At 34.9% G+C, this 25,830-nt stretch overlaps 1 long non-coding RNA gene across 1 annotated transcript in view; it reads left to right on the forward strand.

Annotated features, from left to right (window-relative positions):
* Positions 1–25,830, forward strand: part of LOC105370255 (uncharacterized) — a 62,160-nt gene extending 36,330 nt beyond the window's left edge. The window contains exons 3-4 of the long non-coding RNA XR_942058.2: positions 4,767–4,821; positions 25,476–25,830. This is a non-coding gene — a long non-coding RNA (uncharacterized LOC105370255). The remainder of the gene's footprint in view (positions 1–4,766; positions 4,822–25,475) is intronic.

Below are 25,830 nucleotides of genomic sequence, written 5' to 3' on the forward strand. Positions count from 1 at the left end.
AATCAGAAGTTTGTCTAAATTGGCATTTCTGTCACTAGGACACAAAATACATGAAGATCTTGATTAAAATAACATAATTAGTAATTTTACTGAAAAGAAGGCAAAATTTTATGAAATAATATGTAATAATGTGAGAATTATGCATGTCTTTACTTGATTACTCACCTAAAAATTATCACCCCAACCCTTAAGTAAATATCCACACATCCAATCATCTCTGAGGTTTTACCAAATTTCCGTTATGAGAAAAGACATAGCTTTACACACGAGGTCATAATACAGTAATATTTATCAACTTAGAAAGCTAAAACACATTCTCAAATATTTCGATTTGTAACTGGTGCGATGCAATACTGAAAGCCTAGGAAAGTAATTTGTATGTGGAAACTGCCTCAAAGTTGAAGGTGGGAAAGTTGGTTCTACTTCCTATGGTGTACCTCCTTGTTCACTATAAAACCCTTCGGTTTTCTTAATTATCAAAAATATCTTGTATATATTCACAGTGCTAATTCAGTAGGTTAGTCCTGTATTGGCTAGTGTGATTTTTCAGACCAAGAAGCGACTGTACTTCCAAATCTCATTTGCGTTTTTTGACACAGGAAGAGAAAACATCCGAGGGAGTTAAGGTTTTCTCACTTTTTATACAATTACAAAAATTTACCAATTACTATGGGCAGCAATTAGATAGAAGAAGGGCCCAAGATTCATAATGCCCTAGAAAAGGTAGTAATGTTCAGTAGGATTAAACTTACTAAACTTCTTGACTGCTACATAAGTTACCAAGGATTACCTTTGAAGATTTCAATAAGTAATTGAAACAATTAGATAATAGCTTATTGAATTAAAGGATAAGTATCAAAATAGGAATACTATAAATATTAGTTGAATATAAGGAACTAGATGCATACCTAAGAGGTTATCAGGGCTTTTCTGAACGAAACCTTTATGACTGCAAAAATTATTTTCTGTAAGTTAAACAAATCTATATAGTGCAGTGAAGTCAGATGACAGGCACAATTTGTGAGATGGCATTAGATCTATAGCTTGACCTGATTTCTCCAACTGATTATTTATAAAAGTCTTTTCATACTTTGGCAGAACCAGAAGCAATGCAACTTGGCCCAAAACAAATAATCTTTGTTTTACCTAAATAATACTACTTATTGGTTAATTATCGCATCAACATTACTAATTTATTAGTGCAAGTTATTATAAAATTCCTTGATTATAGTCTTAATGTCTATATAATTTGCAATCATAGCTCCTTATACATTCTTAATATTTATAATTTGAGTCACTATTTTGTTTAGCCAGCCTTTCTTGTGGTTTATCAATGTTTTCAATGGTTTCAATCTGTTTCTTTCCCTTATCTGTTTTCACTCATTAATTTTCAATTTTACTTTTATTATTTCCTTCATTTAAGTAGCATAATATTCCATTTATGTTCCTTTCACTAGTTTCTTAAGATGGATGTTCAGGTCATTGGTTTTCAGTTTTTCTTCTCTCAATATTAGTATGTAGATTTATTAATTGCTTTAACAGCTTTCCAAAAATTTTGTTATTTGTTTTCCTTATTATCTAACTGAAAATATTTCTTTTGTCTTGCCATTTCCTACCTAAAGGATTATTTGGAAGTGTGTTAGCTAATTTTCAAGAATATGGAGATTTTCCGAATATAATTTTCAATATAATTTCATTCCAAATATGACCTTTTCGTTATGATCAAAGAATCTTATCTATGCGATTTCTTGCAAATTTTTAGTATCTGTTTATAGTATAGCATTTGGCTTGTTTTTCATTAAGCTTAAAAAGTTTGTATTCGGTTATTGAATGTAGTGGCCATAATGTCAATTATTTTTAATTTTTTTAATAAGGTTCTTTAAATCTTCTACATCCTTACTTTTTTTTTTTTTATTATTATTACTTCTATTGAGTACTGAAAGAAAAATGTTTTAAAAAGTATCCATTGTAGTAGTCCCAAGCTATTCGGGAGGCTGAGGCAGGAGAATGGCGTGAACCCCGGGGTTCGGAGCTTGCAGTGAGCCGAGATCGTGCCACCGCACTCCAGCCTGGGCAACAGAGCGAGACTCCGTCTCAAAAAAAAAAAAAAAAAAAAAAAGTTTCCATTGTAATTGTAGTTTAACTTATTTCTGTTTAAGTTCTATCAGTTTTTGTTTCATGTATTTTGAACATCTGGTAATAGTAGTGTACACATTTAGGATTGTTGCATCTCTGATAAGTTGATGTTTTCACTTTTATAACATGTCCTTCTTTACTTAGTATTCTTTGCCTCAAACTTTGATAAAATATAACTTGATTAGCTACCATGTGGTTAGGTTTTGCATGCTATATCTTGGTCCCAACGTTTTACTTTTAATCTGAGTTTTTATAATTAAAATACTTTGGGGGATCTCCCTAATTATCATTTTGATGTTTGTTTTTAATTTAATTTTTTTTACTATATTCTGAATGACTTGCCTCTTTTAGATGTATCCAGATTTGTTTTAAGGCCCAGTACATAGTAAACCATATGAATTCAAAATAATTATTCTGAAATGATTGAATATATAGTTTCATATATATTTATTAGGTCAATGTGGTAGACAGTGTTCAATCATCTATGTGTTTGGTGACTTTTTCTAGTTGTTCTGTCATTTGATAAAAGAGAGGTTCATCATCTCTAACAATGATTGTAGTATTGTCATTTCATCCTTTAGTTCTGTCGATTTTTTTCAGGTAACCACTCACATCAACATATATAATTTCTATCTTTTCCTGATGAATTATTTATCATCATAAAATTTCATAGTTCCCTGCTAACAATCTTTTTCTTAGTATATATGTTGACTGATATTAACACCCATCCTAGACTTCTTATGCTTACCCTAAACATAGTATGTCTTTTTAAAAATTTACTGTCAAATTATTGGTTGCTTTTTAGTTAATGTATGTATCCTGTAGAGAGTACATATTTAGGAATTGATTTTGTTTTGTCCATTCTTTCGGTCTTTGCCTTTAATTGGATTGTTTCTCCATAATTATTTAAAGTAATGGTCAAATAAAAGTACACCATTATATATTTTCTGTGTGTCTCTTTTAGTTTTCTTGTTTAAGTTTTCCTAATATATTTTGGATTATAAAATTTGTCAAAGATACTTTTAATTTTCATATTGTGTTTTTAATTATACATTTTGTATTATTTGGCATTTGACTCTAAGGATTAAGATACACATGCATTAACTTTTTCAGTTACTTGGAAGTTAGACTGTACTAATTCCCACAAATACAAAAAAACATGAAAACATTCAGTTTATATGTTCCCCTTGTCATCTTCTATGCTATTATTGCCCTGTGTACTTAGATTATAAACTGCACAAGTAAATGTTACAATATTTTTCCTTAAAACTCTCATAAGTATTTTAAAGAAATTCAGATGAAATAGTTATTTGCATTTACCTACATATTTACCATTTTTGATGTTCTTTGTTCTCTCTTAAAAATCTGGATTTTCAGTAGGGATAAAGGTCCTCAGGATAAAGAATATACTTTAGCATTACTTATAGCATCAGTCTGCTGGCAATGAATTACATTAGTTTTCTTCTATCTGAAACTTTTTTATACTGGATATAAAAATCTAGGTTGGCATTTTAGTTTCTTTTAGCATTTTTTTCCCTCTACTCTTTACTCTCTTCTAGACTTCATATAGATTTAGATGAGAAATGTATTGTATTTTAATTATATGTGTATGTATATTTAAATTCTGAACATTTATGTGTCTAGCTATATGTTTATATAAGTAATGTGTAATTTTTTATTCTTTTTACTTTCAAAAATGCCTTTGTATGTTTAATTTTTCAGTCATTTAACTCTGATCTGCTCAGGCATGATTTCATTCACATTTATCCTGCTTTGTCTTTCTATTGATTTTAAAAAATACCGTTCTGTTGTCTTCTGACTTGTATTGTTTCTGAGGAGAATTCAGCCATCATTATTATTGTCATTCCTTAGAATTTGTCTCTTTCACCTCTGCCTGCTTTAAGAATTTCTCTTTAACTTGAGTTTTGAGAAAGTTGACTGAGGTATGTCTGTATGCGGTTTTTCTCTGTATTCATCCATCATGGTTTTGTTCTTGATGCTGCTGCCCTTTCTATTGGTGCTGCTGTTGCTGTTTTAACTTCTGGAATTATTAGTTGATGTTTTAAATCAAATTTTAAAAAAAATTACCATTTTTTTCTCAAATACTTTTTCCACCCTTTTCTCCTTGGAGACACCAGTTATCTTAACAATTTATTACAGTACATTGATGCATCTCTTTCTGCCTCAGTTTGGATAACTTCTATTGAGCTACCTTCAAATTCTATAACCTTTTCCTTAGGTCCAAAATGCTATTAATTCTCTTGAATGAATTTATGATTTCAGAAATAGTATTTTGTTCAATTTTTATCATTAGGGTTTCAATTTATTTTTTGAATAGACTATATCTTCACATTTTAAGTGTGTAAATATTTAATACAGTATAGCGGTTTTGAAATCCTTTTCTTCTGTTAAGGAGTGATTGCTTTTGTCCTCCAAAATTCATATATTGAAGCTCTAACCCCCAGTGTAGTTATATTTGGAGATGGGTTACTAAGCAAGTAATTAAGGTTAAATGAGGTCATACAGATGGTGATCCAATAGGATTAATCTACTAATCCAAAGGATTGATGTTTTTAGATGAAGAGATACCTGAGAGCTCACCGTCTGTCCCTCTTTTTCTATCCACACAGACTAAGGAAGGACTATACATGGAAAGAGCAATAAGAAAACTTTCTGCAAGCCAAGGTAAGAACTCCCACCTGAAACCAAAAGAGCAAAAGCCTTGACTTTGGGTTTCTAGCCCCCAGAACTGTTAGAAAATAAATTTCTTTTGTTTAAGCCACTGAGTCTATGGTGTTTTGTTATGTCAGCCTGAGCAAACTAGTACACCTGCTATCTCAATAACTAGTTTATCTATGTACCTCTTTTTATTGATTGCAATTTTTCTTTTTAATGTGTCACCTTTTTCTACTTCCTTCACATCACATAATTTATTAGTGTATTCAGAAAATTAAGGAGAATGCTTTGTCTTGTTTTTAAAATTTTTTTATTTTACTTTTCTGCACAGAACCTGAGCCTTTCTCTCAGTCTGGTGATTAGGGGATGAAAAACTGATCATTCAGATTCTTCAGGTCTTAAGTTCAAGTGTGTTATACTTGAGCTATGGTTTTAATTCTACTGAGCCCAGTTGTGATTACTCCAACCTCCATCTACTTTATTGCTGCTACTTCTGCTGCTGCTGCCACCTTTTTGATCATGTCAGCATTTGACCTGGGCTTTAGATTCAGCTGTTTTAGTTTACTGGTTCCCATTTATATGCAATTTCTCTAGGGACACACATTCCAAACATTGCCACAATGTATATGACTATATGAGTCCTCTCTGCTTTTCAGCTGGTTTCTTGACAAAATAGGGGCATGATGTGTAAAGGATAGTTGTGAAGCAAACAATTTGTTTTGCATTTGGACATTTTTCTATTAATTCCATCTTGCCAACTTATATAATCATTAAGGTTTGACTAGCTTCTGCTCCTTCCTAGAAAGTCACCATCTATGACAAGGGCAGCCTTTCTAGGCTCATACCTATATTATGCAAAGAAATTTCAAAAAGTCTGTGGAAAAATTGAATTTAAAGATAAAAATAAAAAAATATAAACTTTATTTCTCACCATAAGCTCCATGAAAGTCAAGACACTTTTGTAAATGATAACAACAACCATTTAGTCCATCCTTAAGGAACTGAGGGTCCTGGGAATTTGGTCAGGTCAATGTTATTTAATTTTTTTACAATATTAACTGAAGAAAAATTGGTACCTTTAAATGTTTTTTAAGGTTAGAAAACAAAACGAAGTCAGAAAAAGTCCAATCATGACTATAATATGAATGCCTCATAACTCCCCTTCAAAACTTGCAAAATTGCTTTTGTTTGATGAGAGGAATGAGCAGGAATATTGTCATCATGAAGAAAGACTCTCTGATGAAGCTTTCCCAGGCATTTTTCTGCTAAAGCTTTCATTAACTTTCTCAGAACAGTCTCATAATAAGCAGTTGTTATCTTTATTTGTTCCTCCAGAAAGTCAACAAGCAAAATCCCTTAAGTTTCCTACATAATGCTGCTATGACCTTTGCTCTTGACTGGTCTGCTTTTGTTTTGACTGGACCACTACCATCTCTTCATAGCCATTGCTTTGCTTGTGGCTTTGTCATCAGGATCATATTGGTAAAGTCACATTTCATCTGACATTACAAATCTTAGAAGAAATGCTTCAAGATCTTGATCCTACATGTTCAAATTTTCCATGGAAAGTTTTGCTCTTGTCTGCAGCTGTTGTGGGCACAACAGTTTTAGCATCCATCAAATGGAAAGTTTACTCAATTTTAATTTTTCACTCTCAATTGTGTAATCTGGACCAGTTGAGATGTGTGTGGTGTTGGCTATTTTTGCTGTTTATAATCAGTCTTCTTCGATTAGGGCACAAATAAAATTAATTTTTTTCTCACAAATTGATGTAAATGATCTGCTGCTGTCAGGTTCATCTTCAACACAGTCTTATATATCTGGGATTATCTTTAAAAAGAGTTATCAATTTTTAAACTGTTGATTTCTTTGAGGCATTGGCCCCAGAAACATTTGTAAAATAATATAGTATGGCTGTGTCCCCACCCAAATCTCATCTTGAATTCACACATTTTTGTGGGAGGGACCTGGCAGGAGGTGATTATATCATGGAGCACAGGTCTTTCCCATGATGTTCTCATGGTAGTGAATAGGTCTCACAGGATCTGATGGTTTTAAAAAGGGGAGTTTCCCTGCACAAGCTCTCTTCTCTTGTCTGCCACCATGTGAGACATGCCTTTTACCTTCCGCCATGATTGTGAGGCCTCCCCAGCCCCATGAAACTGTAAGTCCAATAAACCTCTTCCTTATGTAAATTGTCCAGTCTTGGCTATGTCTTTATCAGCAACATGAAAGTTGACTAATACAGTAAATTGTTACCAGTAGAGCGGGGCACTATTGAAAAGATACCTAAAAACGTGGAAGTGACTTTGGAACTGGGAAACAGGCAGAGGTTAGAACAGTTTGGAGGGCTCAGAAGAAGAGAGAAAGATGTGAAAAAGTTTGGAACTCTTGAGAGACTTGTTGAATGGCTTCGACCAAAATGCTGATAATGATATGGACAATGAAATCCAGGCTGAGGTGGTCTCAGATGGAGATGAGGAACATATTGGGAACTGGCGCAAAGGTGACTCTTGTTATGTTTAAGCAAAGAGACTGGTGGCATTTTGCCCCTACCCTAGAGATTTGTGGAACTTTGAACTTCAGAGAGATGATTTAGTGTAAACGGTGGAAGAAATTTCTAAGCAGCAAAGTGTTCAAGCGGTGACTGTTAAGGGCATTCAGTTTTAAAAGGGAAACAGCATAAAAGTTCTGAAAATTTGCAGCCTGACAATGCAATAGAAATGAAAATCCCATTTTCTGAGGAGAAATTCAAGCTGGCTGCAGAAATTTGCATATGTAACAAGGAGCCAAAAGTTAATCCCCATGACAATGGGGAAAATGTCTCCAGGACATATCAGAGGTCTTCATGGCAGCCACTCCCCTCACAGGCCTGGAAGCCTAACAGGCAATGATGGTTTCATGCGTAGGCCCAGGACCCCCTGCTCTGTGCAGCCTAGAGACTTTGTACCCTGTGTTTCAGCTGCCCCAGCTGTTGTACCCAAGCGAGTCGGAGAGAAACGCCACACTTTGGGACAATTTCAGAAGTCCTTTATTTGCCCATGACTGAGAGACAGCTAGTGCTCAAAATTCTCTTGGCTCCAAAGAGGGGGCTAGATTTTCTTTTATACTTTGGTTTAGAGAGGGGAGGGGGATTCTAGCTGCAGCAACTTTACAGAAGAGAAACAGACAAAAAAAGTTAAAAAGACAAATGGTTACAGGAAAAACAAACAGTTCCAGGTACAGGGGCTTTAAATTCATCATAAAGTGACAGGGTGATAGGTGAGGGGGCTCTGGGCATTATCTACCAGATAAATGTGGAGGCTTTATGGTACCATCTTTGAGTAAATTGTTGGGAACTGTGGACACCAGCTTGCTCAGTGCCTTATCAGTTAACTGGACTCTGATATGCTGAGAGCCAGCTTATACAAGTTAACTCCTTAAAGAAGGGGGTGGTTAAGGAGTCCTTGATGTCTTGCAAATGAAGGAGCCAAATGGAGTCCTTCTGGTGTTCTCAGCTAAGGGAGAGTCTATTCATATTAAAACAAAGTTAGGTAGCTAAGGGAGAGTCTAACAAGGAAAGGTATTACACAGCCATGGCTAAAAGAGACCAAGGTACAGCTCCAGCTGTTGCTTCAGAGGGTGGAAGCCCCAAGCCTTGGCAGCTTTAACATGGTGTTGAGCCTGTGGGTGCACAGAAGTCAAGAATTGAGGTTTGGGAACTTCTGCCTATATTTCATATAATGTATGGAAACACCTGGATACACAGGCAGAAGTTTGCTGCAGGGGAGGGGCCCTCATGGAGAACTTCTGGTAGGGCAGTGCAGAAGGGAAATGTGGGATCAGAGCCCCCACACAGAGTCCCTACTGGGGCACCACTTAGTGAAGTTGCATGAAGGGGGATACCATCCTCCAGACCCCAGAATGGTAGATCCACCAACAGCTTGCACCATGCACCTGGAAAAGCCACAGACACTCAATGCCAGCCCTGAAAGTAGACAAGAGTGGGGCTATATCCTGCAAAGCCACAGGGGCAGAACTGCCCAAGGCCATCGGACTCCACCTCTTACATCAGTGTGACCTGGATGTGAAACACGGAGTCAAAGGAGGTCATTTTGGAGCTTTAAGATTTGACTGCTCTGCTGGATTTCAGATTTGCATGGGGCCTGTAGCCCCTTTGTTTGGGCCAATTTCTTTCATTTGGAATGCTTGTATTTACCCAATTCCTGTACCTTCATTTTATCTAGTAAGTAAGTAATCTGCTTTTGATTTTATAGGCTCATAGGTGAAAGGGACTTGCCTTTTCTCAGATGAGATTTTGGACTGTGGACTTTTGAGTTAATGCTGAAGTGAGTTAGGACTCTTGGGGACTACTGGGAAGGCATGATTGGTTTTGAAATTTGAGGACATGAGATTTCGGAGGGGCCAGTGGCAGAATGATGTGGTTTGGCTGTGTCTTCACCCAAATCTCATCTTAAATTCCCAGTTTTTGTGGAAGGGACCTGGTAGGAGGTAATTGAATCATAGGGGCAGGTCTTTCCCATGCTCTTCTTGTGATAGTGAATAAGTCTCATGAGATCTGATGGTTTAAAAATTGGAGCTTCCCTGAATGATCTCTCTTCTCTTGTCTGTGCCACGTGAGACACACCTTTCACCTTCCACCATGATTGTGAGGCCTCCTCAGCCACGTGGAACTATAAGTCCAAAAAGCCTCTTTCTTTTATCAATTGCCCAGTCTTGGGTATGTCTTTATCAGCAGCACGAAAATGGACTAATACATAAAATATAAATTATTCATCCATTCCTCTACCTGAGCATTTCCATAAATTTGATGTTTGTTCTTGCTTCAATTTTAGCAGAATTCATGTTGTTCTCATAGGGACTCTTTTTAAAGCTGATGTTTTAGTCTTATCAGTGTCACAAACTCAGTCTTGTTGAGGCATGTTATAACAAGTTAGTACAAGTTTATTTAGTGCAAAAACCTTTGAAATTCATGCATAGCCTTTTTTTATAATATGTATTTTCCATGAAGTCCCATTGTACATCTATACCCAGATATGGAAGCTGCCATGTCTATATGCTCATCTATGAAATGTCCTTTCTCTCTGGATTATAATAAAAAACATCTTTATGGCAGCCATCCTTTTCTGCTAGCCTCAGGGAAAAGTATGATTTTAATTAATTCCATGTTTATCTTATTTTTTCATAGAAGAGAAGGACTTAACTTCAATATCTTTCTCAATTTTAGTAGGAAAAAAGAATTTCCTCAATAGCTTTTTCACTTACATTTTTTCCTCAAGGCTTGCCACTCAAACTGTTTTGTGCCAAAGTTATATCTTAAAATACAAATTTTATTACCTTCATTAATTCTCTGCTCTTTGATATTTGCTATGAAATTCTCAGAAAAGATCTTCAAGGAGGAGATTCTCAATCATAGGACCAATGCTATACACAGATCAGACAAGGAGAAGACTGGCAAAAGTTAGAATAATCTGTCCACAGGCCATGTTTGTTGACCTCCAAAAAAAAAAAAGTTGAAAGGTGAGGATGGATATTAGGTTGCAGAGGGTTTAAGAATTAGTGGAAGGTAACATCTTTATAAAGAGTGTTTGCAATGGCTTATATTAGACAAATCAATCATAAAATCTACCCCTTCTGTGGGAAACAGCTTTGCTCTTAGCTCTCATGAGTCACACAGCTTTTAGAAATCCTTGTTATATGAATAATCAGACTTAAGGTTAGCCTATTCATATGGTTTGGCTCTGTGTCCCCACCTAACTGTCATGTTGAATTGTAATTCCTAATGTTATGGAGGGACCTGGTGGAAGGTCATTGAATCATGGGGTTGGATTTTCCTCTTGCTGTTCTCATGATAGTGAGTGAGTTCTCACAAGATCTGTTTGTTTAAAAGTGTGTAGCACTTTCCCCTTTACCCTCTTCCTCATGCTCTGACCATGTGAATACATGTCTTGCTTCCCATTCACCTTCTACCATGGTTGTAAGATTCCTGAGGCCTCCCCAGCCAGGAAGAACTGTGAGTCAATTACACCACCTTTCTTTGTAAATTATCCAGTCTCAAGTATGTCTTTAAAGCAGTGCAAAAACAAATTAATACAGAAAACTGGTACCAGAGAAGTGGGCCATTGTTATAAAAGTACCTGAAAATGTGGAAGTGTCTTTGGAACTAGGTGATGGGCAGAGTTGAAACAGTTTGGAGGGCTCAGAAGAAGACAGAAACATGAGGGAAAGTTTGGAACTTCCTAGAACTTCCTCAAGGGTATCTGGCAGAAGAAACTTCTAAGCAGCAAATTGTTCAAGATGTGACCTGGCTGCTTCTAACTGTATATGCCAATATGCATACACAAAAAAAGACAGTCTGAAACTGAAACATATTTAAAAGGGAAGCAGAGCATACAAGTTTGAAAAATTTACAGCCTGGTCATGTGGTAGAAAAGAAAAACCCATTTTCTGGGAGAAATTCAAGCTGACTGCAGAAATTTGCTTAAGTAAAGAGAGGTGAAATGCTAACATCGGAGATAATGGGAAAAATGCCTCCAGGACATTTCAGAGACTTTCATGGCAGCCCCTTCCATCAGAGGCTTGGAGCCCTAGGAGGGAAAAATGGTTTCATGGGACAGGCCCAGGGTCTCACAGCTCTGTGCAGCCTCAGGACATGGTGCCCTGCATCCCAGCTGCTCCAGCTCCAGCCATGAATAAAAGGGGTCAAGTACAGCACAGGCCACTGCTTCAGAGAGCATATGCCCCAAGACTTGGTGACTTCCACATGGTGTTGGGTCTGTGGATGCAAAGAAGCCTCTGCCTACATTTCAAAGGATGTATAGAAATGCCTGGATGTCCAGGCAAAAGTCTGCTGCTGGGGTAGAGTCCTTGTAGAGAACTTCTACTGGAGTGGAAATGTGGGGTTAGAGTCCTGTAGTAGTCTGTTTTCATGATGCTGATAAAGACACACCTAAGACTGGGTAATTTATAACGAAAAAGAGGTTTAATGGATTAACAGTTCCATGTGGCTGGGGTGGCCTCACAGTCCTGCTGGAAGATGAAAGGCACATCTTACATGACAGCTGGCAAGAGAGAATGAGAGCCAAGTGAAGGGGGTTTCTCATTATAAAACCATCAGATCTCATGAGACTTATTCACTACCACAAGAACAGTATGGAGGAAACCCTCCCCCATGATTTATTTAACTCCCACCAGGCCTCTCCCACAACACGTGGGAATTATAGGAGCTACAATTCAAGATGAGATTTGGGTTGGGACACAGCCGAATCATATCAAGTCCCCACACAGAGTCCCTACTGTGGCAGTGCCTACTGGAGCTGTGAGAAGAGAGCCACCATCCTCCAGATCCCAGAATGGTAGATCCACTGACAGCTTGCACCATATGCCTGGAAAAGCCTCAGTTACTCAATGCCAGTCTGTGAAAGAAGCTGGAGTCAAAGGAGATTCTTTTGGAGCTTTAAGATTTAATGACCGCCCTGTTGGGTTTCAGACTTGCATGGCATCTGTCTCGCCTTTGTTTTGATAAATTTTTCCCACTTGGAATGTGAGCATTTACCTATGACTGCACCCTCATTGTATCTTGGAAGTAACTAACTTGTTTTTTATTTCACAGGCTGATAGGCAGAAGGGACTTGCCTTGTCTCAGATAAGACTTTGGGCTTGAACTTTTGAGTTAATGCTGGAATGAGTTAAGACTTTGGGGGACTGTTGATGAGGCATAATTGTGTTTTGAAATTTGAGAAGGATATGAGATTTGGGAAGGGCCAGGGGCAGAGTGATACGGTTTGGCTGTGTCCCCACCAATCTCATATCAAATTGTAATTCCCAATGTTGGGGCAGGGACCTGTTGGAAGGTGATTAGATCGTGGGGGTGGATTTCCCCCTTGTTGTTCTTCTAGTGAACTCACTCTCACGAGAACTGGTTGTCTAAAAGTGTATAGCACTTCCTCCTTTGCTGTCTTCCTCCTGCTCTGCCTATGTGAAGACATGTCTTGCTTCCCCTTTACCTTCCACCACAATTGTAAGCTTCCTGAGGCCTCTCCAGTCATGTGGAACTGTGAGTCAATTACACCTCTTCTCTTTATATATTACCCAGGCTCAGGTATGTCTTTATAACAGTGTGAGAAATAACTAATACATCTATATACCAGTTATCCTTTGTTCTGTGAGTTGGCTTTTCATGATGGATGTGGTCAAGGGAGAAGATGATACCAAAATTGAACAAATTTGACTTTCCCCATTCCCAGATTTCGTATTTTAAAGAAATTCACAGTAAGTGGCAGGAAGAGAAGCTGAAAAGACATGCAAATAGAGACCAAGATACCATGGGTAATTTGAAGTCTTTTATGTGAACCAAAGTTGTGAACAGTTTGAAGCTAAGATTTTAGCAGGGCCTATGCTAACTCAAAGTATAAAAGAAAAAGGATTTACAGAGCAGTCAGGAGTACTGTGGTAACCAACAGCAGAAACTCAAATCAAATCAGTGCAATCAAAGAGGAAAGAAATATATTAATTCATTTAACAAAACATTAAATTTATCATTAAAGTGGAAAAAATAGAACCGGTAATTTAAAGGACAGATTATTTCAAATGGCGGAATCATCAAGTCTGCGAAATGAGAAAGAAGGCTATTTTCTGTATACTGTGGCATAGTAGAGTCATCAAAGTTATGACCTTGAGGTACTTCTAACAAAGTCATTTTGGTTATTAATAGAATACTATTTAAGTGATTAAAAAAATAGAAGTAGATATCAAGGAGCAAATGTTTACCATGAGACCAGCATTTATTTTTGATAAACGAGAAGTACCCAAGCAGCAAGTCCCAAGTGCCTATTTGTCTAGTTGGGTCTTACAGTAGAAGGCTAGTACTGTGTTCCAAAAGTTGCAGTCAGTGTTGCCATTGAATGGAACTGTAATAGTCCATCCTGACAAAGGTATCAGTTATGATTTTCATTTGATTTTCATTGTTTTCCTGTCTCTTCTTATTTAGTAACAGTTACATAAATCTATTATTATAAAATGTTAATAAAACAGGGTGAGAAAAAGATTTAGTTTCTCCTACATACAAAAAAAAAAAAAACTCTGTGTGCATACCTATACATAATCTACCTCCACAGTATAGTTTTAAATATTTCTCATTTTTAACATTTATTAAATATTTCCTCTTTTTATTTTTGTGAATTTCATTAATCTGCATATTATATTTTGATTTTATAGATAAATATTATAATTTTAAGCATACACAACAAGAAAAATAAATACCAATACTTATTTTTACTTATGTATTTTTTGTTTTTAATTACTCTTCTAGATTTGTCATTTTTGATGGTCTATTCAGTAATTCTCCAATTGCTTCTTCCTTGCTATATCTAAACAGAATTACCTAATATTAGTCTTATGAATGCAGTTACTTTTACTAAGGATTTATGCATTTAATTAGTCACAGGATTCATTACAGAGGTGTTTGAAATCAACTGTGACAGAAAGATTGTCAATTAGTTTCACTGGTTACTATACATGAATAATTGAGTTTATTTTACAAACAACTGTTAAAATAACTTCTCCAATTAGGAAAAGTTACCAGAGAGTAACTTAAAATAAATATGTTATAAACAAAGAATAACACATTTACTGCCCAAGTGAATCACAGACAGCAGAATTTCAAATTATAGTAAAATGTTTTAATGTGGTATATAAACTGAAACACTTAAAGAAACAGCATGTACTATTAAAAATAAGCTTATTATATTCTCATCCTGTTTGGATAGTAAAATTGCTGTCAATAACTCCCTTTATTAGAGTGCTTCTGTATAACTAGCTTGTTCTTCTCTGTCTACATTATACTAGGTCTTCATTTCTTGACCAGTTTTTTAATAGCATAGTTTAGGGATATTTTTAGCAATACCCATGGAAATAGAGATAAAATGTTTATTTTATTTTGGAGATAATTGCCCTCTATAGATGCTGCAATTTGCAAATATGCAAATAAAGAAAGCAGCAGAATAAATTTTTTAAGGTATTGCCATCCTTTTTCTAGGAGGTACCTTCATTCTCTGGCTTAGCAATAACTAATTCACACACTCGTTACTACCAATGCTCCTCGCAAAACTGCCATGTTTATAAAGGATGAATCATAACTTATCGTTTACTTTTCCAAGTTCTTCTGCACAGTGGTTAAGAAATTCCAGAGTCTGATGGCTGGAGTTTGAATCCTGGCTCGATCACTTGCTGAAATTTAACAAGTTTTTCATCTCCTGTGCCATACTTTCCTCATTTCAGATAGTATTTGATGCGACTTATTGCTAAGGTTAAAGAAGTTAGCTCTAAAATAGTACCTGACACATAGTAATCATTTCAAAAGTGTGAGCTAAGGGTATCGTGTGCTCTATTTGTGTAGTAGTGTTTTCATGTTTTATTGTAGGTGGTTTGTTTTTTCTGGATTATTCTCTCTTCCTAAAATCATTCTCGACAGCATAGATGCTTGCTGATTCCACGTAAACAAAAAGACGTTTTTCTCACTTATTTTTGTTTGTGGGCATATGCATGTATATCTATTCTTAGTGCTATGGGACTTTTTCTCTGATATACAAACCAGATAACTTGTAAATAATTGAATAAAAGTATATTATATACACTTCTTTTCAGAGATATGGTAGTCTTTTCTAAACATGCCTGATAACTGAAAATAATCCATTTCCCTGTATGCAATTCTGAGTTAGCTGGGGCGTTCTGGTCAAATGAAGATTACTGAAAATTTGACTTAATCCTTAAATTCATAATTTGGGAGACCAAATCCCACTGTTTAACTTCTGTGGTTTCATCACAGCTATTTCCTCATGGCTTACTAGTTTCTTGTTTCACATTCTCATTGGATGGGTCATTCTGTCCCACACAGACCTGGATTTAGAGCTCATCCCCTTTAGGGGTTTCCAGAAAAATATCTACTCACATTAAATGTCCAGTGAGTTTTGGAATTTATTGGAGATTTAGATGTTATGAGAAAAGACTTCACGTTGTTTTCAGTCTTCCACTATCCTGTAGCTCCAAGTGTTATTTTTTCCCCTTCTCTCTAATGAAAAAAAAAAAAAAAAAAAAAAAAAAGAAAGAGATCCTTCCTGGGCTCATGCACAGCAGTTCCAGACCCTCTTAAGATCCGATATTCTACTCTGTTTGATTTGCAAGAAAGATTTTCAACTAAGATAGGACTTTACTTGTGAGATTCACATAACCTCTGCTATCAGAAAAAAACAAAACTTTTGTTTTTCTTTTTCTGACCTTTTCAATAAGCGAGCATTACTTTGGTTTCAGAATTATTATTTGTCTTTTACAACTACATAATATCTTTGGAAGTGGCCAGCCTCATTGGGCACACTGCATGACTTTGCAACTTAGCTAAGGAAGTACGGGGATTTTAAGGTTTGACAGACTTCAGTAGAGGGATTTGAAGATTTTTCAGAATCAATTAGAAAGTCTTGCCAACTATACGCTTGAAGAAAACTCATTCTTATGGCAGGAAATTTCATACAAAGAGCAAAGAGGCAGGTAGTATAGGTCAAGGGGTAGTGGATTCTACAAGGCAACAGAGAATCTTAAAAAGTAGCTGAGAAAAACGATTTGCACTTTTTGGTCAGGAAACACTTGGAGGGTAGTGCACTAACAATGTTAAATTTCAAAATGTTATGTTAAACTTTCTCATATGTGCTCTGTCCTAAACTAGGTGTCGTCCTAGAACGGAGAGAGTTTTGAGAGCTCTAAGCCATAAAAGTTCATAGTCAAGATCACCGTTCTAAAATTAAGTAGACAGGAAGAAGAATCCTAGCTTTACCAGTCACTAACTGCAGGGTCTTGAGTGAGGTCATTTATCTGACTAAAAGTTCAATTTTCTCATCGGAAAAACTGAAAAAATAATATAGACGTGACTGAGGTTTTGTGATGATTAAAAGATGTAGTATATGTAAATCACCCAGAGAACATTTGGGAAGTAGAAAGCAGCTTCTGTGTGGTGTTTTTAGTAGTACATGGGGGCTGAGAGGAAGGTCAACAGGTAATGTTGCTTCACCTCTAAGGACAATAAAGATTCATATATTAAAAGGAAATACTTTTAATGCTTTTTTAGCTGGGAATGGTGGCACGTGCCTGTAGTCCTAGCTATTTGAAAGGCTGAATTGGGAGGCCGAGGCAGGCGGATCACGAGGTCAGGAAATAGAGACCATCCTGGCTAACACAGTGAAACCCCCTCTCTCCTAAAAGTATAGGCATGCACCTGGAGTCCCAGCTACTCAGGAGGCTGAGGCAGGAGAATGGCGTGAACCCGGGAGGCGGAGATCGCAGTGAGCCGAGATCGCGCCACTGCACTCCAGCCTGGGCGATAGAGACTCCGTCTCAAAAACAAACAAAAAAAAAAAAAAGAGAGAGAGAAAACAAAAGAAAAGAAAGAAAGAAAGGCTGAGGCGGGAGGATAGCTTGAGCCCAGGAGTTCAAGGCTGTAGTGAGCTATGGCCATGCCACTGTTCTCCAGCCTGGGAGGCTGAGCAAATTCCTATCCCAGAAAGAAAAAAAAAGTAAATGCTTAATAATTGAAATACAAAACTGAGTATATGACTTGGTGTCTGATTATGCATTTGATTCTTAGGCTTTAAATTATATCTAGTTTCAAACAAAATTAAGTTGGTCATATGGAACTATGATAGATACCTAAATGTTCATTGTTCAGTGAGCTGACATTTCTTCTGACAAATGACAAAATAATACAAAAGCATTAGCAGAATATTGCTTCAATATACAACTTAAATGCAAATTTTCTATACTCATTATCAGAAATTTGGGAATGCTAGTGTATTCCGTTTATGAAGGTTTGTATACAATTTTATATTCCTTAACAACCATCTATTCAATTTTATACATTCTTAATATATTGTAATTTTTATACATTCTAAATATATTTTTCACAATTTTACCCATTCTAAATATATTAAAAGAATGAGTAGATCCCTAAGTATTGGTCTAAATAAATAATACTAAATACTTGAAACATTAGTAAGAATTATCGATAAAAATGTTTAAACGTCCAAAATTTTAAGAACTGGAGTAACTTTCTGAAGTGCTAGTTTAATCCTTATTGCCCATGTGGATGATCAGACTGAATACTACAATCTATTTTATTAAATAATTTGAATACAAAATTGTAATTATATTTCTATCTTTTTGGAACAAATTTTACTTCAGCTATTAAAAAATTATTAGAGATGTGCATATGAGATTGTTAATTATACCACTGGAAAAATATCCTTTTATGGACATCATCTCTCTAAGTGTCCTCAAATGACAACTTCTTACAGTCACAAACATATTGGATTAAGGTGGATTGAAACAGACTAAGAATATGTAGAGAATTTATTATAAAAAATGGAAGCAATGAAAATGACGAGATAAGGAAAATGACAGTTGAGAGGGCACACATTCAATGTATATCAATGTAACAAAAAGATGCCCTAGTATTGCCATACTTCAACCTTGTCATCATCTATCATTTGCTTTTTGAAACCAACTTTAATTCTTACAAAAGACGCAACCAATACAGCTTTCATGGCATAGAAATTTTAAGAGACATTATGAATGTTATTCATGTAATGACTGTTTCATGTATTTTTAATAGTTCTTTATTTATGTGATGGTGAGAATTCTCCCTAATAAACAAGAAATTATAAGCTCAAACTAAAACAAGGAGAGCAAAGCTTGAAGTGTAAAATTCTTGACATCATTAGAGAAAATTAAAATCTGAAACAAAAATTTATGGACACTATCCTGCTCTCAAAGATTCTATGTATTTCCTTTATTTTTAAAAAAAATGCATTTTAATCCACAAATACTGATATCAATGGAGAACCACAGCATCTACATGCATATGGTTTTAAAAATGGAAAATGATGTGTCATAACTCTGATATTTAGAGAGGTAACCCATTTAATAATGCAACTTGTTATATCTCATAAAAGCTTAAGAAAGGTGACTCCAAAACTCTGATTTGGAGGATAACACTGATATCTGATAAAATAAACAAAAATATTACTTTGCCTCCCACAACAAGAGTATTTGACTTTTACAAACTGAGCTTGATTATAGTCTAAGCAAAGAAATAATATAATTACATTTTTGAAATGAAAAGTAAAAGGATAGAGGGAATCAAGGAAGAAATGTTTACACTGGGTATTCGGAATTGTCTAAAGCAGGTGGTGTCTTAGCTCATGGGACTTATTTTTCAAGTATCCAGGGCAAGACTATGCTTGCTGTAAACATGAACATAGAAAGTTTTTTTTACTGTCAATGGGATTAGATGTATGCATATTGTCAGGTAACTTTCTACATCTTATAATTACTTTATATTAATTATATATTGCCTATGTACAAATTACCACAAATCTATGGGTTTAAAACAACAAAAGTCTACTAGCAGATGTCTAACCTCAAGAAATTGGCAGGGCTTCAATCTTTCTAAAGGTTTTGGGGGAAAATCCACTTCCATACACCTTTCCAACTTGTAAAGGCTGCCTGCAGTCTTTGCCTCATGGTTCCCCAGTGTTGAAAGTGTATCACTGCTCACTCCAACCTCTGGTTCTTTGGTAACATCTCTTTCTTCTTTGATTCCATTATCTTCCCCTTATAAGGGCTCTTGTGATTATATTGGGCCCAATTTTAATAATTGAGAATGATCTCCTCATCTCAAGGTCCTTAACTTAATCATATCTGCTAAATCTCTTTTTAAGGTAACATATCCATAGGTTGTGATGATTAGTATCTAATCATCTTTGGGGGAGCCTTTATTATCACACTTTTCCAACCAAAATCATTTAATTTGGCCCTGAAAGCTTGTCTATAGGAAATGGGCATGCTGATACATATACAACTCTTTTTTTTTTTTTTTTTTTTTTTTTTTTTTTTTTGATACAGAGTTTCGCTCTTGTTGCCCAGGCTGGAGTGCAACGGTGTGATCTTGGCTCACCGCAACCTCCGCCTCCCAGGTTCAAGCGATTCTCCTGCCACAGCCTCCATACTACTTTTATTTTTTTTATTAATTCAATTAACATTTTAATAATACCTATTAGGCTAGGTACTGGTGAAACCAAGTTTCATATGAAATGATAACCTAAGGGGCAACAAGGAAGACCAAATAGATACATCAATAATAGAAATAAATGAGTAAGCCTATGAAAATAATTAAGGTTTTTTTTGTTTTGTTTGTTTGTTTGTTTGATTGTAATATAGAGAGCAGACACCAAAAAGGCAAAAATCACATTTTGACTTAAGTTTTCAATGGTATGTGCAAATTATCCACAAGTAGGGAAGAGATTGCATTCAGTCCCTGAGTCTATGTGCTAAAATAGTAAAGAATAGGAGATTCTGTCACTTTTAGCACATGCAAACAGTTACATAGACACCTACACCTGTATAAAGGGTATCACTGGAGGATAGCACTACTCCATGCTAGAAAAATAATCCATACTTAGATTATTAATAATCTCGTAGACTAAGCCAGGGAGTTTAAATTTTGTCATAAATACCATTGTGATCAAATGGGCACTTCAAAACAAATAAACGATATAATTATAGTTTTATTGGAAAGCAGTCAGAAAGGGGGGTTGACAGGAGAGTGTAATGGAAGGAAACACGTGGAAGATGTGAGAAATAAATAAATTTAGCAAGCAGTGAGTTTGGAAGAGACCCCTAAGTCTCATTTGGGGGCCACAGTCCTGTCTAAACTTTAATTTTAGTCTGATGAGAATCTGAGCAGAGAAACTAGTCACACCATTTTAGACTTCTGACCTACAGAAACCATAAGAAAATACTTAAGTGTTGTTTAAAGCACTATATTTGTAGCAATTTGTTATGACAGCAATCGAAATCTAATATAGTAATTATATGGGTGCTCATTACTCCAGTTTCCACAGAATATAATTTCCAATTTGATAAAGAAGAGAAAATGCCACATGTTGTTTATTCAACATCATTGAAATATTACATGACAGGTGACTTCCCATGAAGAGGACACATTTGTTTTTTCAATCTGCATTCACTTGTGACTGTAATTTTTCTCTTATTCTTTATATATTCTCTTCAGTAAAGAGAGCCGCAGGGAACAGTATACGGTCCAGGCCTGGCTAATCACCAATCCAGCAGTGATAACTTTTTTTAGGCACAGTGATTGTGCCAATCAGAATTATCTCTAATATTTGTCCCTCGATGGTAATGATAGTTTTGTGAACTTGCTTTTACCTGACTTTATTAATTTCTTCTTCAGCATAAGTTAGCCTGAGAAGGATTCCTATATTTTGTAACTCAGAGAGTTCTAATTCACCCTTCAATTGAAGCTAATAAAAGTCTATGCTTATGGTGTGATAAAATTATAAAGTATATTAGTGATCACTTATATTTCTAGATTCATTTTCATCATAAGTTAAATGAGTATTATCACAGTCTATTTGTGTGAGCCAACGTATTTAAAAGTGTTAGATGTGGGTTCATTACTATAAACAGATTCAACTAATGAACATTATGCTATGTCTCTTAATTAAAAAGTTTTCATTGTAAGGCCTAACGACAAATGAAGTTAAGTGAATGTTACTTTCAAGAGCATATTTTATTAGTGAGTTTAAAGAGAAATGCTAACATATATAAATATAGATATATAGAGATATAGAGATATAGATATATTATACATACATGTATGAGTAGCTGAATGGCATTTAAAGCACAGAACCCAACAAGTTAACATAACATTGAAAAACACATCCTGATAGAAGATGAGAAGCGTCAAGAGTAGCAAGTCAGGAGCTCCACTCTAAAGGTTAAGTGAACATTCAAAAAATATAGAGCACCACTCCTTAACAGATTCAGACTCAACTAGTTTTCACTGATAGTTTGAGGCAGTAAGTCACGCCACACAACCAAAAGGTGTGGTACCTGTTATCAACCAAATTTTACAGATGAGATATTATAAAAATATTGAAGATTTAAAATACAACCAAAATTATCCAGGTGGTAGTAAAGAGCCCTAGAATATAAACCTAACACCTTCACCCCAAGTTTGTATTAATTTCACTGCAATATGTCACTTCCATATTACACTCTGTTTAACTGACTGGAATACGCTGAAGAAATTTCCAAAGTGTATATATACTTCTAATATAATATAATAAATAAAAATCTTAATTATTGTATGTATTAATGCCTAATACATTTTAATAATTACAAGTATACTTTAATAAGTATAATTCCATTATACTCAGGAATTCAAAAGTATTTTTGATAGAATTTCTTCATTTTGAATTCAAAGAGTTTATATTCACATATCTTGTTTCTTACATCATATATTTGTGTGTATATCAATGTATGTATATTCATATACTTACACATATTTTTATAAAGTTTTTTTCCTGTGGAGTTATCTGTTCTTTATTTTCAAATTATCTTTGTTTCTTCAAAACACTGAAGTAATAAGGAAGAATTTTTAGCTCAAGACAATGTTCAAATGCTTAAGCTAAATTGACACAATAAAGCTAAGAGATTATTGCCTATCAGGTCAATAATTTGTGAACTAAGAAGGATTAATAGGATTTACAACTCTTTTCAGCTACATGTGGCACAAGTAATACTAATTATATTTTCATTAACTTTTGAAGCTAGATCATGTTCTCATAATTTAGTCCTGTTATGGACTAATCCATGGTTTTATTGTTAAATAAATTTTAATGATTTAAAATCATAACATGTTATGATTTTAAAAACTCATAATAATACACCAAATTTGATACTTATTTTGAATTTATCATACTCCTTTTGAATCCAATATAAATGTCATTTCTAGTTTATTATTTTCTTCAGAATGTGCAGATTTGAGCACTCCAAACCCACTGAGGTAATCCTTCACTGCGCAATATTCATACTTGAAATGTATGTTATTTGCTGAAAACTTTGCTCTAAAGAAAAGTGAGGTAAATACATGAGAAAGTTGTTACCTAGATAGTATCCTCTCCTTTCTCTTGTCTCCTATGTTTTCAGCATATACTCCATAGTGCTTATGACAGAGACTACTAGTTTCCCCGTTCGTCACTGGTAATAGTTATAGCTAGGTATAAGGACAATAAGAAAGAGATTATATATTCTAAGCTCTCTTGCAGCTAGATTTGGTCATATAAATGTGTTCTGTGCAATGGAACAGAAGTGATTATTTCAAATTTTGGATTGGGCCAATTTTGGATTTGGAAAGGATTAGATGTTCTTTTTGCTTTTTTTCCCCTTCCTTATGGCTAGAAGGTAGATGTGATGGTGGCAGCTGGCATACCTCCTAGACTTTAGAAACTGATGTAGAGGTTGGCAAAATAAAGAGCTAGAAAACTTTCATCCGTACCACTAAAAAACTTGTGATATGAACTATGGACTGACTTTGTTTGACACTTTCACAAAAAATTCTGTCTTACTTAACCCACTAACAGTTTCTCCTTTTTTGTTTTTTTTTTTCCCAGCAGTGAAAGTGGCATTCCAATACAGGTCTTTATTTGAATCACTCGTTTCACATACAGCTTTAGCTTCCTTGTTTTTCTCCCCTCATCACATATCTGCCAGGAACACTATGATCTTGATGGAAGCCAAAAGACCCTCTTCTCTGATAAAATCAGAAAATTGGGAATTTTGGAAGTTTTGTACATTCGTGATCATCATCCTAAAATGGACAATGTTTTCTTAAAATTTTAATAAAATTCTCTTGTAAGTTTCTTCTCTCATTCGCTGCAATATTTTATTCTCTACTTTTTAACTTCTCAAGTTCATTCTCCCTCCCTTCCTCAGAATATCTCTCGTAACTTCATACTCTGCTAAGGAAATACAAAAACAAAAGCAAAACAGAAAACATAGGCATAGAATTCAAATTTCTCATTTTCTGTCAGAGATATAAGCCATTTTGGTAACCTTTTCCATCATATTTTTCCCTCTACTCACAGAGAGTGAACTCTTTTCTAATGTCCAAATCACCGCAAATCCCATCCACTTTTAAATTGCTCATTTCCGTTCTCTTCTGTATTTTAAAAACTGGTTTTCTCTACTGGAAAATTTTAACTAATATCTAAACTGGCTACAATATCTTTCATTTTGAAAAAGAGCACACACTTGTCCTCCAACTTCATTTCATTTTCTTTCTTCTCTGCATATTTTTTTGTTTTTACCATAGCTTTTTAAAAAAGTATTCCACACACATAGTCTCTATTTCATCTATCACTCAATTCACCAATCAACCCAATCTATACTGATTTTAGCAATTAATTATTAGTCATCAAGTTATATTCACACTAAACATGGAACATAATTTATATATATATCACAACTTGCGATAATATAGTTATAGTTCATAGTAATGATTAACATATTAAAGATTAATTTATTCTTCAAATAATGTCAATTCTCTTTAGTTTTCTGTAAGCATGCATTACATTTTTTACAAAATCTACTTTTCCAACATTTTTCTTATTTCTCTCTTACATTTCTTTTCCTTCTTAGTCCCCTTTGCTAGCTACTTCTTTTACCACCTTTTAAAGTTTCCTCTGGTTTAGTCCTGAACTCTCTTTATTTCTCACTCTCTATTGACTCACTAGAAAATCTTGGCTGTCCTCATGGGTGTAGATGTCATTTTATACCAGTGGTGCTGAAGTTGTGTTGCTAGGTCATATCTTACTTCTAAGTTTCAAGCAATATATTCAAATGCTTATTTAACATTTCTACATTTATATTACATTCACACATTAGCTTGCCCAAACTTAAAATCTTTATATAATCTGCCTTTCTCATCTGCTTTACTTTCTACATTCTGTGCTTTCAATTTCCAAATAGATGTAAAGCTTTTCATGTCTCTTCCTCTGCTCTAATATAACCCTACTCTAACTTGCATAGGCTTTTTTCCCTTCTATTCCTGGTCTCTTCACTTTCGTTTTTGCCCCTGCACAGTTTATACTCTATCAAGCATTTATATTATTTTTGTCATTTTTTGTTTTTGTTTTGTTTTGTTTTGTTTTAATACAAGGAAAGGGATATTTTCCTTAGGAGCCTCCTTTCAGTGACTTGAAAGCCAAATTCTTCCTTACCTTGGTGTTTGCACATAAGCAGTCTTCTCTTTCAAATGTGCTTCTTCTAAACTTTTCACCCAATTAACCATTTTCAGATCTTAGCTTGAACACCATCTTCTCAGGACATGAATACTTTTGTCTCCAAACTATGTTATGTCCCCATGTTCTGTGATCTCCAAAACCTGTAAGCCTCTTTGTACTAGTAATACGACATTCATTTATCGATCTATCTCCCTGTTTATTGCTATTTGTAAAATATCTGTACTTTCCACTAGAATATAAGCTTCTTGATGGCAGCAATCTTGCCTATCTTTGTTAATGTATCCCTTTCACCTGGGAAAGTATCTGACACAAGGCAGAGTTTCAATAAATAATATTTTTAATTCTTAAGTGAATTGATGTTAACTATATTATATACTGATAATGTGGCTTTGAATGTGTTTTGTCTACAGGGAGAAACATATGATAGCTAAACTAATTCCAACAATTTGTGTTTCCATTTATTCTTTTACTTATTATTAATTATTATGTTTATATTCTGTTTTATTTTTTCAGATTGAAGCATTATCCAGTGTGGGGTCAACTTTGGGTCATGAACAAAATAATTTTCTCAACTTCAAGGCACAAACAATGGGCAGTGGTGAATCTCCCAAGTTAGGTACAACCATATACGGACTATTCTCAGTGTCCTGCTGACCTTCTCAGGGAACACTCATTCTTCTCATTGAGCATTTATTCTAAATTACTTATGGTATATTTAGATTAGGTAGAATTTTCTTTGCTAGCTTGAGCACATACATATTACCTAAAAGACCATTTGTAAGGTAATACATATTCACAATTCAACATAGAAAATTTTAAAATTGTTATAGTGCAACCTTTTGTAACTCCTGAAATCTGAGTATAAAGA

This window comes from Homo sapiens, chromosome 13, assembly GCF_000001405.40.
Source record: "Homo sapiens chromosome 13, GRCh38.p14 Primary Assembly".
NCBI classification, from domain to species: Eukaryota; Metazoa; Chordata; class Mammalia; order Primates; family Hominidae; genus Homo; species Homo sapiens.